The sequence below is a fragment of the Homo sapiens genome, chromosome 2, assembly GCF_000001405.40.
Source record: "Homo sapiens chromosome 2, GRCh38.p14 Primary Assembly".
NCBI lineage: Eukaryota > Metazoa > Chordata > Mammalia > Primates > Hominidae > Homo > Homo sapiens.
In genome coordinates this window covers 166,402,686-166,421,051 of record NC_000002.12, presented here as the reverse complement: position 1 = coordinate 166,421,051, position 18,366 = coordinate 166,402,686, and the positions used below count along the sequence as shown (strand labels likewise).

Here is an 18,366-nt window from a genome sequence, read left to right as displayed (position 1 = left end):
AGAAATAGAGAGGAATAGGTATGTTTATTAAGATTCTAGGTTCTTATTCCTCATAAAGTATAAAAACCAATACAGACAAGTAAAAGAAACTAGTATTTGAGAGAGAAAATATAGTTTTAAAAATATATTTCTACCCCATATACATATGCATATTACCAAAATTGTCTCCATTTTAAAAATACGGTTGTCAGAAAATGAAACTTGGATCAGTTAACAAACTTTAAAATTATACAAACATTGTATACCCTAAGTGGTTACTCACTGAATGAAAGAAAAGTTTGAATTTTAAGATAAATTTACTTTTTTAATGTCACAATCACAAGTGATGATTTCTTACCTCTCCTGTCTTCATCACTCACATGTTAAAACCTCTTCTGAACAATGTAAAGAAAATTAATAGATTGAATATTATAAAATGGCCAATGTCTGAAAAATGTAAAGAAAATAGATTGAATATTATAAAAGGCCGGTGTTCAATCTTTTGTACCTGAAATGGAAATCCCATAATGCTCGACCTAATAGAAAAAAATGGAGTCTGTGACCACCACAAGTAGTATAAGTATGTAGCTATACAGTGACCCATTGTATACAGAAATGGGAGAATACGTTCAAATGTACCTTTTATTTTATAATACATTTATGTGTTTTTGCATTTTTATTTACATAGATTTTTTTCATATCAGTCTGCCACTTTAATTACTACGTAATATCACATATTCATTGCTATGGTAGAATCCAGTGAGAAAATTATTAACGTTTAACCTTTATCCCTATAGTTTATTGTATTATGTGTTACATTTAAACTGTTATTAATTAAGAAACCATAACACTTAAACTCCTTCCACTTGGTGAAATGTGGATGTTTATTTTTCTCTATAAATACAAACAGAAATATAAATGATTTTAAATATGTATTTTATTTAAAAAAATAATTTCAGAAATTTTAATAATTTCACTTTTATGATTGTGTAAAGTACTTAAGTACATTAGTTATATTTGTATATGTATACTTAGCCCGTGATTCATTATAATATTCTTGTAATTCATACAAATGTATCGTTGACTCATTATAATAGTACTTAGGCCTGATCTATCTGTTTCTTAAATACATTTGATTTATTTGTGTTGGGAAATTAATATTTTGATTATGTAGTAAATACATAAAATTCCAAATGTGGCAAAATTCCAATTATACACCTCAAAAACAAAAAATCTAAAATAGTAATTGTAACATATAATAAGAAACAGACTTCATTTAACCATATCATGAAGATCCACAAGGTGGTGATATTGCCCAGTGCTTTTAAACCAAAATAAGGTGGCAAATAAGCTGAAAATAAGGTGGTTGAATGGTTTGATAAGATTGAAGTTAAAATGACAAAACAGCCTAGGCACGGTGGCTTACACCTCTAATCCTAGCAATTTGGGAGACCGAGGCCAGCAGATTGCTTGAGCTCAGGAGTTTGAGACGAGCCCGGGTAACACAGTAAGACCCTGTCTCTACAAAAAATACAAAAATTAGCCAGGTGTGGTGTGTGCAAGTGTAGTCCCAGCTACTTGAGATGCTGAGGTGAGATGAGGTGAGAGGATCACCTAAGGCTGGGAGGTCGAGGCTGCAGTGAGCCGAGATTGCTCCACTGCACTCCAGACTGGGTGACAGAGTGAGACTGTCTCAAAAAAAAAAAAAAAAGACAGCCACATTTCCAGTATAAATACAGTTTAGTGATAGGAAAACATTATAGAATATTCTGACATGTAAACTACAGAGGGCCTATTTACTCAAAATACACATGCACACACACACACACCCCCCTAAGTAAATATGTAACTAAAATAAACTCTTTTTTATTTTCAAAAAACGGGATAATACCAGTTCTTTTTCCTAATAAGTTTAGACATATAGGGAGGAAAAAAAAGTAACAAAATCAGCAAGTTGTCTGCCCCAATTTAGAGAAAAGGAGGAAGAGATTTGCCAGGGAAACTGACTCTGTCAGAAATTAGGCCCTGTACCATTTAATGCTGTACATTCATTAGAATGGCAATGAAACAATGGCTGTGGACAATTCAAGGTCAGGAAAATAGTAGCCATGCTTAGGTCAAAGTCAGGTTCAGACCTGAAGCCTCATCTCCACCTCTGGAAGTTCTGTAAATTATCTCTGAAGATATATCATTGAGTATATTAGGAAGTTACATGCTTACAAAATTAATGATTTATGTATTTAATAAGTTTAAGGTCTTAGGTGCTGTCTACTTTTCAAATATATGTGTCAACTATATCCACTCTTTTTATTCTTTATATGTAGATTTTCTAAAAGACATGGCATTTTTCTTCAGCAGAACAATTAATGGACCTTTCAAAATATTTAAAAGTATTAACAAAAGATCTGTGATCTAGTTTTAGAAATAAAAGTGTTACTGAAATCATAGTTAAAAGCCTAAATATTAATTCAAAGACAGGCAACTATGGAACATAAGGAAGAGTATGCAGGCAAAAGGATTAGTATCTAGTAATGGCTGAAGGAAGGGAAGGTTAGAATGGTAGAAAACAGAATCAGTGGTGCCTCAGGAAGAAAGTGAAAGAAGGTCAGGAGAGGGAAATCAAAAGTATAAAATTAAGAGAGGCCAGGCACAGTGATTCACGCCTATAATCCCATCACTTTGGGAGGCCGAGGTGGGTGGATCACCTGAGGTCAGGAGTTCAAGACCAACCTGACCAACATGGTGAAACCCCGTCTCTACTAAAAAAAAAAAAAAAAAAAAAAAAAAAGCCTGGCGGGGTGGCGTGTGCCTGTAATGTCAGCTACTCCAGAAGCTGAGGCAGGAGAATCGCTTGAACCCCAGAGGCAGAGATTGCAGTGAGCCAAGATCGGGCCATTGCACACAAGAGCAAAACTTGGTCTCAATAAAATAAATAAATAAAATAAAATAAATAAAAAAATAAAAAAGCTAAGAGAAAAATAAGTAGTGGAAATAGTAAAACTATTATATTATTATATTAGATATAGCAACTGATTTGCATTTGCCGTAGCAGCTTCAGTGGAGTAATAAGAATACAATTCTGATTTGAATTTTAAAGAGTGAAGTCAGTTGAGGAAATAATGACAGTGATTATAGATTATTGCTGGTATTCAAGTTTAGGTGGCAGATTCATCTCCCAAGCTTCATACTCTGGAGTGACTCACCAGTGACACCAAATGGTTCAGTGAGGATTGAATCTTTGTGACGTACAGCAACCCATTTAATTTCCTGAAGCAATCTCTTCTCTTGGCTTCATTGACAGTACAAACTATTGGTCTTCTGATTCCCCTAACTACTCTTTCACATATTATATTTCACTTAAAATATATAATATATATATTTTAAAATAATCTCATACATACACATGGGTTCAGTTATCTTGAATGATCATTTCTGGCATGATACAGGACATCAATAAGCATATATATATATATATATTAAGCCAGCAAAATAATTATTTATTCTAGTATTTGTACTAATTAGCTCTGTTGCCATTTAATGATTTTTTAGTACAAACATTTTAAGAATATCTAGAGTTGAATGTATTTTCTTTTTTGTGGGGGGATGGAGTCTGGGTCTGTTGCCCATGCTGGAGTTCAGTGGCAGTATCTCTGCTCACTGCAAGCTCTGCCTCCTGGCTTCAAGCGATTCTCCTGCCTCAGCCTCCCGAGTAGTTGGGACTACAGGTGTCCGCCACCACACCTGGCTAATTTTTTGTATTTTTAGTAGAGAAGGGGTTTCACCATGTTAGCCAGGATGGTCTTGATCTCCTGACCTGGTGATCCACCCGCCTCAGCCTCCCAAAGTGCTGGGATTACAGGCGTGAGCCACCACGCCCAGCCTGATTTGAGTGTATTTTCTAAATAAAAATTGAATTGCTATTTAGGTTATTCCAGTACCAGCATGTGGGCTGTTAAATCTTTAGATATGGCCTTTTAAGGTTTTTTTTTAAATATGTTATTCTATCAATTAGTATTTTTCAAACTGATCAAAAACTAAAACAGTTTCAGATTTCCTATCTAAAGTTTACATTTTTTATATATACCAGGTGGTTGTGAGAGCTTTGATCAAAACAACCTTACCCACTTTGAATGTGTTTCTTGTCTGCCTGATGATCTGGCTGATTTTTAGTATCATGGGAGTAGACTTATTTGCTGGCAGATTCTATGAATGCATTGACCCAACAAGTGGAGAAAGGTTTCCTTCATCTGAAGTCATGAATAAGAGTCGGTGTGAAAGCCTTCTGTTTAACGAATCCATGCTATGGGAAAATGCAAAAATGAACTTTGATAATGTTGGAAATGGTTTCCTTTCTCTGCTTCAAGTAGTAAGTACACTTTTGACTTTTCCTTATTAATTATATATTCATCCATATTGTAGGTTGAATGCAAAGGACAAAATGTGGGCGATTAATACATTTGGTTATAAAATATTTTAGCAATTAGTAGATAAATGTAATGGGACATACAACTATCGGGGGAACCCATCCCAAATATTTCAACATAGGTTCTTTCTATTTTCCGTAAGTGTTGGCCAGCTGAGAAATAAAGAGAAAGAGTACAAAGATAGGAATTTTACAGCTGGGCCGCCGGGGGTGACATCACATATCAGTAGGACCATGATGCCCACCTGAGCCTTAAAGCCAGCAAGTTTTTATTAAGGATTTCAAAAGGGGAGGGGGTGTACAAACAGGGAGTAGGTCACATGCTTCAAGGGGCAAAAAGCAGAACAAAGATCACATGCTTCTGAGGAAACAGGACAAGGGCAAAATCAGAACTCCTGTTAAGGGTCTATGTTCAGTGGTGCACATATTGTCTTGATAAACATCTTAACAGAAAACAGGGTTCGAGAGCAGAGAACCTGTCTGACCTAAAATTTACCAGGATGGAGTTTCCCAATCCTAGTAAGCCTGAGGGTACTGTGGGAGACCAGGGCGTATCTCAGTCCTTATCTCAACTGCATAGGACAGACATTCCCAGAGTGGCTGTTTATAGACCTCTCTCCAGGAATGAATTCCTTTCCCAGAGTATTAATATCAATATTCCTTACTAGGAAAAGAATTTAGTGATATCTTCCCTACTTGCACGTCCATTTATAGGCTCTCTGCAAGAAGAAAAATATGGCTCTTTTTGCCCAACCCCGCAGGCAATCAGAACTTATGGTTGTCTTCCCTTGTTCCCTAAAAACACAGTTATTCTGTTCTTTTTCAAGGTGCACTGATTTCATATTGTTCAAACACACATGTTTTACAATCAATTTGTACAGTTAACACAATTATCACAGTGGTCCTGAGGTGACGTACATCCTCAGCTTACGAAGATAACAGGATTAAGAGATCAAAGTAAGACAGTCATAAGAAAGTATAAAAGTATTAATTTGGGAACTGACAAATGTCCATGTTAAAATGAAATCTTCGCAATTTATGTTCCTCTGCCGTGGCTCCAGCCAGTCCCTCTGTTCAGGGTCCCTGACTTCCCGCAACATACAACACTAGACTCATTTAAAGAGACAGGCCAGTTGCAGTGGCTCATGCCTGTAATCCCAGCACTTTGGGAGGCCGAGGTGGGCAGATCATGAGGTCAAGAGATCAAGACCGTCCTAGCCAACATGGTGAAACCCCATCTGTACTGAAAATACAAAAATTAGCTGGGTGGAGTGTCGCATACCTGTAGTCCCAGCTACTTGGGAAGCTGAGGCAGGAGAATCCCTTGAACCTAGGAGGCGGAGGTTGCAGTGAGCCGAGATCATTCCACTGCTCTCCAGTCTGGTGACAAAGTGTGACACTCTCTCAAAGAAAAAAAAAAAAAAAAGAGACAAAAGTTAAATACTGTCTCTGCCCCATTGGATGAAGGAAGTGGAGATGCAAGTAAATTTAACAGAGGAAATACAGATACTGGCCCAAACTATCTTTACCACCACTGATCAGGTTATAGGGTAATGTATTAGTCAGGCTTCCCTAGAGGGACAGAACTAATAGGATATATATATCCTATTATATATTATTATTATCCTATATAATAATATATATTATATATTATCCTATATAATAATATATATTATATATTATCCTATATAATAATATATATTATATATTATCCTATATAATAATATATATTATATATTATCCTATATAATAATATATATTATATATTATCCTATATAATATATATTATATATTATATATCCTATATATTATATATATCCTATTATATATTATATATCCTACTATATATTATCCTATATAATAATATATATTCTATGTAATATATATTCTATATATATTTTGTGTGTGTGTCTATATATATATATATATAGTGGCAGAGGTGAAGTAAGCTCGTGTATCTATGTCTATTCCCACTGTGAACATATGGTGAGCTCACACAATGAATCCCAGGAAGCCAACTGATATTATAGCCCAGACCATGCCCATGTACCCAAATGGTTCTTTTTTTCCGGATGTGGGAGATTATTCCGAAGCCTGGTAAGATGAGGATATAGACTTCCGGGTGACCGAAAAATCAGAATAGGTGCTGATATAGGATAGGAGATATATATATATATATATATATATCCTATTAGTTCAGTCCCTCTAGGGAACCCTGACTAATACATCACCCCATAACTTGATCAGTGGTGGTAAAAATAGTTTGGGCTAGTATCTGTATTTCCTCTGTTAAATTTACTTGCATCTCTACTTCCTTCATATATATATATATATGTGTATATATATATATATATATGTGTGTGTATATATATATATATGTGTGTGTATATATATCTATATATATTTACATATATAGATATATATATTTATATATATTTACATATATATAATATATTATATATTATATATATTTACATATATATAATATATTATATATATTTATATATATTTACATATATATAATATATTATATATATTTATATATAATATATTATATATATTTACATATATTTACATATATAATATATTTTTATATATTTACATATATAAATATATTTATATATATTTACATATATATAGTATATTTATATATATATATATATATATACACATACACATATATATATAAAGGGGAGTTTATTAAGTATTAACTTACATGATCAATGATCACAGGGTCCCACAATAGGCTGTATGCAAGCTTGAGGAGCAAGGAGAGCCAGTCCGAGTCTCAAAACTGAAGAACTTGGAGTCCAATGTTTGAGGGCAGGAAGCATCCAGCACAGGAGAAAAATATAGGCTGGGAGGCTAGGCCAGTCTCGCCTTTTCACGTTTTCCTGCCTGCTTTATATTTGCTGGCAGCTGATTAGATTGTGTCCACCAGATTAAAGGTGGGTCTGTCTTCCCCAGCCCACTGACTCAAATGTTAATCTCCTTTGGCAACACCCTCACAGACACACCCAGGATCAATACTTTGCATCCTTCAATCCAATCAAATTGACACTCAGTATTAACCACTACAGGTAATAATTCTTTAGTTCAACCCAAGTCACTACTTTTTATCTCTTTAGCATTTTGAGGAACTGCTACTCAGTGACTCAGTATCTAGCAGATGTGAAGAGTTGAACAATTCCTCTTATGTCTCTCACAGAAAAGCACATGTGTAGCAGCTACAAGTCACCATGACACATGGCCGCATGTAATTATTTACCATTTATATATCTGTTTCTCTATTTATCTTTTTCTAGTCATGCTATCTTCAAATATTTTGTTATTAACTATAAATAAACTAAGTACTTGAAATAGTTGTTAACAGACAATATAATAATGAAAATGTTAAGGATCCCAATTACACAGTATATGGAAGTGTGGCAAGCCTATGTCAAATATTTCAGTGCACTAATAAGAGACTGAGATTTTACTTTTTATTTGCCAGGAAGCATAAATTTTAAATGCATTTTATTTTTACAGGCAACATTTAATGGATGGATCACTATTATGAATTCAGCAATTGATTCTGTTGCTGTAAGTATAATATCATTTTAAAGCCATTGTTAGGATACAAGCAAAGTCATTTTTGCAATTCGAGCACAGGACACCAGTAATAATGAATAGAAATCAAATGCAGTTCAGATTGGATATTTCATTGGCAATGAAATTCTTCCAGGGTTATTATATACAATGATTGAGGCCCCATAGGTCCATTTGAAAGATTACCAGACTTTGCAACAATGGTTAAATGAATGAAATGAACTTTAACATTCATACAAAGCAATGATATCCTTTTACCAAACAGCAAAAAAGAAAACAGTTTCTTAGGTAGCATAACAATGCTTGTTTTGTTATTGTTTTCTTGTCATAAATTGTTTTATAAAACTTGTTTTAAAAAGCCAATATCAATAATTTGCTTATTTTAAACTTCTAGGTTAATATACAGCCTCATTTTGAAGTCAACATCTACATGTATTGTTACTTTATCAACTTTATTATATTTGGAGTATTTCTCCCTCTGAGTATGCTGATTACTGTTATTATTGATAATTTCAACAAGCATAAAATAAAGATAAGTATAAATATTATTTGTTTATCCAATGTCTGAGAAAATCAGGCATACACATAAATATATAAATGCCCTGCTTCAAATAATTGGCTTTGGATTCAGCTTAATGTCATTTTTATTTGACATGTATCTTAAAAAATCATGATTAATGTTCCTGCACATTGATGAACATTGCCTTCTAAATCCAAAATATGTACTACACAGTCAAGTTTAAAAGTTAAACATTACAAGTGTCTGTGTAAAAATTACAAGTGTTTTGGAAATAATTATGGGCTGAAAAATAAATACTGTAAGTAAAATTTTCTATCTTCACAAATATGTGAAGAGTTCCAGAAAAAAACACTCTTTTACTCTCTGTTATATTTAAAGCCTCCACAGTCAGCCAGCATGGACATCTTTCAAAGTTAGAGTAGTTCTTTCTGCTAGAAGTAGAGAGAGTCATAAATCCTAACTGGGTGGCCTAAGTAGGAGTGCTTGAACCCAGTAAGACAGAGTTCAGAGACAGAATTGAATAACTACAGTTTCATGCCATTTCTAAAAAGCAGCTTCTTCAGGGCCTCCACAAACGCAAAGGACTAAAAAGACATCTAAGTCAAGTTATTTTACACAGGCACCTAATCTCTTTTGGGAAGCCTTCCAAAAAAGTCAAAGGAAAGAATAGTTTAATTTTGAAATTTTATCTTCAGCCATGTAATCAAACTTTAGCCATGTGTAAAATCTGGTACAGTAGACTCTCCTTATCCAAGGGGACTGCGTTCCAAGACCTCCAGTGGATGCCTGAAACCGCAGGGTAGTACCTAACCTGATTACCGTAAATCAGAACGTTTCTGTTCACGTTAAGATGCCTTTTCCATGACTAAGACTTATCATGCACTGTGGCCATTTGCAGTTTGAAGTACAACAGCAAATCAAGCATACATTTATTTTTCATTCTTCACAATTTCATGGACAGAAGATTCATTCATACCATAGATTTAGCAACCTCAGCATATGTTTTTTTTTCTTGCCTTAAGTCAAGCACTTTCACCTTTTCTCTTAAAGGAAGCAGTTTGCAGCTTCTTTTTGTATTCGAAGGCCAGCATCACTTCTCTTGCATTTTGGGGGTTATTATTAATTATAATAAGGATTACTTGAACACAATCGCTTGATAACAGAGATAGCTGCAAAGTGAGTAATGTGTGGGTGGCATAGACTGAGTGGATGTGCTGGACAAAGGGATGATTCACATCCCGGTCTCCACAGAGCAGGATGACACAAGATTTCATCACACAACTCAGACCCACATGAAATTTAAAATGTATTAACTATTTATTTTTAGGATTTTTCATGTAATAATTTCCAACTGTGGTTGACCATGGCTAACTGATAGTGTGGAAAGTGAGACTTCAGATAAGGGGGGACTACTGTATATCAATCACTCTTGAGTCTCCACCAATGAAATAGGAGTAGAGAGCTGAGTGCTCAAATGTGATTTTGATTGGATGCTTCAGCTTTCTACGAATATCAACCCTGTAGGATAACATACTAGGATTTGCTTCTAGGCTTCGAACTGGTGTCTGCAGTCAATTTAAGTGACCAGGTCCTGATTTAGAGCAGTAACAATTCCTAATTCCTAGGACGTGACATTATTCACTTCACATATATTACATAAGATACTGAAATTAGCACTAGAAACACAAAAATGAATAAGCCCTCAACCGTGCTATGAAGAAGCAAGCGCAAGGTGCTTTTGGAATAATAGTAAAAAAAACTCTTCTGATACTATTTGAAAAATAAAGCAATATATAGTCATATAAAAATGATCACATATGATCATTTCTGTTTATTTCTGCTTATTAAAAGATACAAATCAACTTTTCCTTTAGCTATTGAGCTCAACCTTTCTTAGTAAATATTTCCAGATATCCCCTGCTGTTTCTCCTTTGTCCTCTTTTACAACCCTATGTGAAAATAGAGTTGACACTCCCCTAAGAAAGCGCACTTAGAGATTACTGAATTTCTGTCACTATCAGCATGTATTCTGTATGTGCTTTTTATGGATTTTTGGGCAGAAAGTCAGACATGTTCAAACATGATTTCATTCACTGCACTTAAGCCTTTTTTTTAGAAGATTAAATCAATAATTGCCAAGTCTTTAAAATGCCTATTAACATAAGGGAAAATTTGGATTAAGTGTGATTTTAATATATTTTTCTTTCCTTTCTTTACCTGGGAGGCTCAAATATCTTTATAACGGTTAAACAGAGAAAACAGTACCGCAGGCTGAAGAAGCTAATGTATGAGGATTCTCAAAGACCAGTACCTCGCCCATTAGTAAGAAAATGTCTAGATTTTTTGAAACTTCAATGGAGGTGTTCTTTATATATTCTCTTTTAAAGCCTTAACAAATGTTTTTGTCAAAATTTTTGTGTCCCTTGACAAAGCTTTTCATGGTCATTTTGTTTGTTTGTTTTGACTATATGTTATAGTTTGGCAAAAATTTAGGTTCACACTTATTCTCATTTATTTTGGGAAGAAAGTTGTAGTGTATAAAAGACCATATATATGTATATGTATCCTATTAATAAGACTATTACACCTGTTGATTTTACCCACAGAACAAGCTCCAAGGATTCATCTTTGATGTGGTAACAAGCCAAGCTTTTAATGTCATTGTTATGGTTCTTATATGTTTCCAAGCAATAGCCATGATGATAGACACTGATGTTCAGAGTCTACAAATGTCCATTGCTCTCTACTGGATTAACTCAATTTTTGTTATGCTATATACTATGGAATGTATACTGAAGCTCATCGCTTTCCGTTGTTTTTATTTCACCATTGCGTGGAACATTTTTGATTTTATGGTGGTTATTTTCTCCATCACAGGTAAGATTTTGTTTAGTCAAATTTTTACTGATAATAATATTAATTCAAGTAAGCTCTTACAGTAAATATGAAATATAGTCTCCTACATTTCAAAATCATGAAATATAGTCTCCTAATAAGCAAAACAGGTAGAGATCTTTTTTTATTTTCAACAGGAATGCTTCACATTTGTATTCATATGTGTACCACCCATGCCTAATAGAGATAAGATGTTCAAAAATATTTCTAATAACATAGACTTTGCATACAAGCCACCAGGTGAATGTTTAGTCAACCCTTCATTCTATAATATACACTAATTTTCTAGATGACACTAGAAAGACGTTTATGTCTTAGAATGATGTAATCTTTCAGGTTCACTATTATTTCCTTCCCTCTAATCTCTAAAACTATTTACAACTTATACAACATTAGAGTTTCAGGCTTTAACAAATTTGTTGCTTGTTTTCTCTTACTTTGGAGATCTCTCTCTTATTTAATAAATACACTTGATAATTCTCTTTGAGAATAAAGACTGTTATATGCAAAAAATTCAGTAGTAAACAAGACAAGTATAATTTCTGTGTACACATAGCTTAGAGTCTATTAAAGGATATAGATAATTAAACAGTACATTTTAATGTGTGCTATTAAGGTTATGGTAGGGAAGTCACAGGGTGCTGCAGCAACACAGCAGAAGGAGGTCACCTAATCAGTAAGTAGAGGTCAGAGAAAACTTTATGGAAGACGTGAAATCTAATTAGAGACTTTTCAGATAAGGAGATAGCCAAGCAAAGAATTTAGTGTCAAAGAGTTTCAGGCAGAGAGAAGTTTGTCTGTTTCCACATAACACACATATTAGGGTGTAAGTTCCATGAGAGTAGGAACAATATTTAAGTTTACTGCATCAAGCACTATTCTATGCATTGAGTAGTAGAAAATATAGATAAACTGTTTGCCCAGATCTGCTTCCAAATATTCACTCATTCAGTTGATAGTGGAAACAATGCAACTAACTACTGAAAAAAACCGTAAGAAGCTTCAGAAAAGAAGAAGCTATCAGAAAAACTGATAGAAAAGTACATGAAGACAAGAGGGAGCTGATAGGAAGAAGGCAGAGAAATGATGGAATTAGGGTCCTATGAGACTGAAGGGGACTTCATCAGAGAACTGGAAGGAAAAGCAATTGCAGTCAGAGAGAAAGCAGTTTGAATTTGCAGTTTCAGAAGGCAAGGTATCTTGGGTCCAGAATGTGATTATAAATGTAGATTTGTAAAATGATGGAAGAGAGTGTAATAACTTGAGAAGACCAAAGACAGAAACCGGCTTTTAAATGGATTGTTGATGGTAGGTGCTAAGGTGAAATGAGAGACAGTGAGTCAATTATTGAAGTCTTCAATGAATGTGAATGAAGAATGAGTAGGCTATAGAGCCAAGGAATGGTAGGAAATGATATAGCTGAATGGCATGATCCACAAAGTGTCAAAAATCTCTTTTATTTTTTCTTTATAAAAATAATAGGAAGGAAAAGTGACCAGAAATCACATTGGAAAGAAAGAAAGATACCTATTTTTTCTTTCTAACCTGAGGAAAGTGGAGTGGGGAAGAATGAGCTCCCTGTATTTGAGAGGGTTGCAAGGGAAATAGAGTCTTCAAGATAGAGCCAGATTTAGCCATCATCCTCTGAAAACTGAAACAGGAACAGAAATCCAAACACCACATATTCTCACTTATAAGTGGGAGTTGAACAATGAGAACACATGGACACAGAAAGGGGAACAACACACACCAGGGCTTGTTGGAGGGTGGGGCGTGAGGGGAAGGAACTTAGAGGACAGGTCGATAGGTGCAGCAAACCACCATGGCACATGTATACCTGTGTAACAAACCTGCATGTTCTGCACATGTATCCTGGTGGGTTTTTTTTAGAAGAAATAAAAACAAAGATTAAAAAAAGAACTTCCCCCCAAAAAAGAGACTGGGTTAAAAAAAAATTAGTGATGAGAATGTAGAGGAATTTATTCACAATTTAGTGATACTTCCTGCATAATGAAAAAGTTTGGAAGGTTGAAGGGAAATGAGAATTTGGGTCAGAGTAGAAGATTCACTAAAGCACTATAGAGATAGGGTATTGATAGGATAGAACATCAGAGAGAAATATCATCTTAGGCAGAGACCAAGTTTAACAAAAATGTGAGACATGATTCCTCCAGATTCAACAAACCTACCATATCACTTAGAAGCCTCGTGGGATTCCTTCTTCCACTACCTTCTCAACTCAAAATAAACTACATTCTCTCTAATACTTCCAGAGAACATCTCTTATACCTTTAATGAATTATAATTCTACCTTGTTTTATAGTTCTTGTGTTAATCACTGCCATACTTCCCTCATCTAACTACCACAGCTACAAAAAAGTTCTAAACAAAGACTTATTTATTCAATTCACATTTAAAGTTCCTGGAGCCCCAGTACTATTTATGAAATAAGGAAATTAAATTACAATCTATGAATCACTGAATGCCAGACATTTCTGTAATTATATTTATCAATTTCTGTCTTATAATTATTTTAAATGTCTGTCACTATTTTCTAAATTATAAGGTTCCTGAAGACAGAAATCATGTCATTCATCTTTGTATATTGGTGTGATATATTTATTGGGCATTCAATAAAGATTGCATGGAACTAAGTTTCTTAATCCAATAGCAATAAAAAATTATGACTATTGTCCTACATTATAGAATCAGGTCATCTGTAATTCCAGAACTACTTGATCTGTAATACTCTTAGATGATGTTACAGAAAAATAATCTTCCAAATTTAGCTAGATACCCTGAGCATTGATACAATAGGTGTTTGGCTGACCCAAACTTTCAACATGCTAACTGTTAAATGAGAATGATTAGTAAAATGGAAGGGATCAATAAAGGATTAATAAAACAGGGAAAAACAATTAAGTGTAAAATAATTTATAGTCCTCAAAATACTATTGTGTTTGAATAATGTATAGCCTGCTTTATCTTTCCCACCCCCAGGACTATGTCTGCCTATGACAGTAGGATCCTACCTTGTGCCTCCTTCACTTGTGCAACTGATACTTCTCTCACGGATCATTCACATGCTGCGTCTTGGAAAAGGACCAAAGGTGTTTCATAATCTGATGCTTCCTTTGATGCTGTCCCTCCCAGCATTATTGAACATCATTCTTCTCATCTTCCTGGTCATGTTCATCTATGCCGTATTTGGAATGTATAATTTTGCCTATGTTAAAAAAGAAGCTGGAATTAATGATGTGTCTAATTTTGAAACCTTTGGCAACAGTATGCTCTGTCTTTTTCAAGTTGCAATATTTGCTGGTTGGGATGGGATGCTTGATGCAATTTTCAACAGTAAATGGTCTGACTGTGATCCTGATAAAATTAACCCTGGGACTCAAGTTAGAGGAGATTGTGGGAACCCCTCTGTTGGGATTTTTTATTTTGTCAGTTATATCCTCATATCATGGCTGATCATTGTAAATATGTACATTGTTGTTGTCATGGAGTTTTTAAATATTGCTTCTAAGAAGAAAAACAAGACCTTGAGTGAAGATGATTTTAGGAAATTCTTTCAGGTATGGAAAAGGTTTGATCCTGATAGGACCCAGTACATAGACTCTAGCAAGCTTTCAGATTTTGCAGCTGCTCTTGATCCTCCTCTTTTCATGGCAAAACCAAACAAGGGCCAGCTCATTGCTTTGGACCTCCCCATGGCTGTTGGGGACAGAATTCATTGCCTCGATATCTTACTTGCTTTTACAAAGAGAGTTATGGGTCAAGATGTGAGGATGGAGAAAGTTGTTTCAGAAATAGAATCAGGGTTTTTGTTAGCCAACCCTTTTAAGATCACATGTGAGCCAATTACGACTACTTTGAAACGAAAACAAGAGGCAGTTTCAGCAACCATCATTCAACGTGCTTATAAAAATTACCGCTTGAGGCGAAATGACAAAAATACATCAGATATTCATATGATAGATGGTGACAGAGATGTTCATGCTACTAAAGAAGGTGCCTATTTTGACAAAGCTAAGGAAAAGTCACCTATTCAAAGCCAGATCTAATACCACTTACCACCTCTTTTCATATTTCTTCACATATCTGAAAAATGTTGAAAGCCTAAGCCAGGAATAAAAGAAAAGTAGAGATAATAATCAGTTCTTTACAACCGATGGTAATTAAGCTTGTATTCACAAGACTTCATGCCAAATTCACTTTTTAGCATTATATCTAACAAATCAAGAGAATCCTTAATATTGCTGCAGTGAGTTTAAAGTGGGTTAAAGTGGCCATTTGACAATCTCATATTTGTTTTCTCTACATGGCTTATATGATGTGTGCCTTCTAGGGAATGAAGGGAAGTGGTGATAGAGATCAGCAGCAGCAGGGGCTTTCTTTTATATTTTATGTATAATTTAATGGGCTTTAAGTCACCACTATTAAGACTTACAAATAAGCAAATACTTTCCTGATGTGGGATGGTGAAATGCTAATGGCCATTAAATCATAAACTTGCCTAGACAAAAGCCAATTGGAAGAAGGGAGAGAGCAGTTCTTTAGAAAGTGCCTTTGAGATCAACCTCAGAGATTCTTGGGCTGATTAAAACTGCATTTGAAAAAGATTGGTTGAAGCTCTGTGTTTATTTTTGTATGTTCTTGTTTTCATTTGGAACTGGGAATGAATAGGATTTCATTGTGCTCAAGCTCCTGGTTTCTCATCTCTGGATAGTTTCACCTAAGCTCTGGCTCTTAAGCAGGACAGATTCGTAAAACAAGAAGCATAAAGGAGAGGTATAGCCTTTTTTTTTTTTTTTTTTTTCATTTTCTTCTCATTTACACCTATTTTTTTAAAAAGTATACATTTACTAAAATGATGTAATAAATAACATGTTAATAGACTCAAGCTTTACCTTATGAAATTGATGTATTTTTACCAGTTATTTCTAATGTAACATTGAATATATAAGATCTGACAAATGTATGTTTAAACATGAATTAGAAGAGTTGAGAACTACCATTATGTATAGGGATTCTCATAGTGTCTTGGCCCTTAATTGGAAAGTTGTGGCAACTTTAAAGTACTTTTTACTGTATGTTATAATTCTTTATAACTTAGAGAGAGACAATGGTCACTCAAACTATGAGAACTATGAATTAGGAGATAAAAGTTTAAATTTGTTGTTGTTTTATAACAGTATGTACAAGTTAGTTTTCCCTTATATATTTACGTTTTCAAGTTTTTTAATCTCATCATATACATCCATACTCTATAAAATGTTTTATATTCAAAGAACTGTAAAATCCTAAACATTAGTTTTCACTATTGAAATTGTTTTTTAAAGATAGGCATAAATAGTTGTCCTTAGACTTATTCATACAAATATAGTCATTTACTTCTATGTAGTTTGAGATTCTGAGAGTTATTCCAACTTTATGAAGATTGATTTCAATGTGCCTGCTAAGTCCTAAAAGATTCAGAAAGAAAATTTATATATTATTGATTTAAATATCATCCTTTAAATATGTTGTATAACATTCAATATAGTTTATGTATCAGTGATTGTATTTTATTCTGAATGCATGATCTCAAGCCTTAACTACTATAATCTTTTTCTGCCCCTCAGAAATTGAATAACCTAACCAAGATGCCTTTAGGGGATGCCCTAAGTAAATGTAATTTCAGATTTCAGGGTTTTTTTTTTTTCCTCTCTAAGTGTTCCTTCCCTTTCTTCTCCTGCTCTCCATCATGTTATGGAGACCAGTGAGGAACCAGTGTTAACTTGGTGACAATGTGACAGCTGGTGCTTTATCTAAGCTCCGTTTTCTATTTCTTGGGAATGCTTTATTGTGGAAACTGCTTCAGATACTTAAATTGAATCATAACTTGCTTCTGTAAATTGCGTAAAGACAACAAACTGATTTTAGTTTGAAAAGTTTATCTTTTACTTGTAAACCTTGTTTGCCAGTTACCTTCCGAAAGCTGTGTAAAGAGTTATTTTTAACAAAGTCTTAACAATATATGTTACTTTTTAGATACTATAGAAAATAATAAATATAACCTGTAAACCACATTAAGCTATGTTTGTTTTTAATTTGATAAATCACATTGGCAACTTTGTGTAGTATACTTTTTAAAAATAAGCTTTACATTAAAGTTTGTTAATTCAGGCTTAAAACTGGAAACAGTTGTGCTTTCTTTAGATCACATAATTTTGTAAAATACATTTTAGTAAGCTTACCAGTGGCCCCTACACATTAACAAGATGTAAAATGATCACTCTTCTTATCAAAATTATAATGATAATTTTACTAGATATATTTTCGTATTATTAGAATTTGCTTTCTGGAAGATAATACTGAAATTAAATTTATTGGTACACTACTATTTATCAATTTCTGCATCTTCAAAAATTTTATTGTGCTTCATTAGTAAATATAATACACTTGAAATTGTTTTAAAGATAATGGTAACAGCTACCATTTATTGAGCACACTTCTATGCCCAGCCTTATCGTATGTATTTATCGTGCATGAAGAAGTGATCACTCTCAGTTCATGAGTGAAAAAAGTTAGGTTTAGAAAGGTTATGAAGTTTTTATATGGCAGAGACCCTATAAGTAAAAAGGCCAGGACTCTAAACCAGGTCCAGTTACAGAGCCTTAATGTGTTTTCTCTCACACTCGCTCTCTCGCTCGCTCGCTCTCCATCTCCCGCTGTCCCACTTTCCCCATTTGGTGCAGTAAATTTTAAAAGTAGAGACATTCCCTGGAAAAAGGGAAGTCATAAGGGATAAAATTATAGAAGTTGAAAAATTCAACGTTTTGTGAATGCTGAATACTAAAGGTAAACTCAGATCCTATTCAGATAAAGATATATCTGAGACTGAAGGGCTTACTGACTACTGGGGGGAAACGTAATATGCAGCTGGTTATAATATGTGATAATTTTTATACTGTGA

The 18,366-nt window shown here is 34.0% G+C and overlaps 1 protein-coding gene across 9 annotated transcripts in view; it reads left to right on the top strand.

Annotated features, from left to right (window-relative positions):
• The window catches only part of SCN7A (sodium voltage-gated channel alpha subunit 7), a 90,677-nt gene extending 73,198 nt beyond the window's left edge, over positions 1-17,479 (top strand). For all 9 annotated transcript variants that reach the window (NR_045628.1, XM_006712680.3, NM_002976.4 and 6 more), the window contains 6 exons: positions 4,067-4,345; positions 7,931-7,984; positions 8,385-8,522; positions 10,728-10,832; positions 11,117-11,387; positions 14,406-17,479. Coding sequence is in view for 8 of the 9 variants with exons in the window: in XM_006712680.3 (XP_006712743.1) it covers positions 4,067-4,345; positions 7,931-7,984; positions 8,385-8,522; positions 10,728-10,832; positions 11,117-11,387; positions 14,406-15,472 (1,914 nt within the window). In the remaining variant the exon portion in view is untranslated. The remainder of the gene's footprint in view (positions 1-4,066; positions 4,346-7,930; positions 7,985-8,384; positions 8,523-10,727; positions 10,833-11,116; positions 11,388-14,405) is intronic.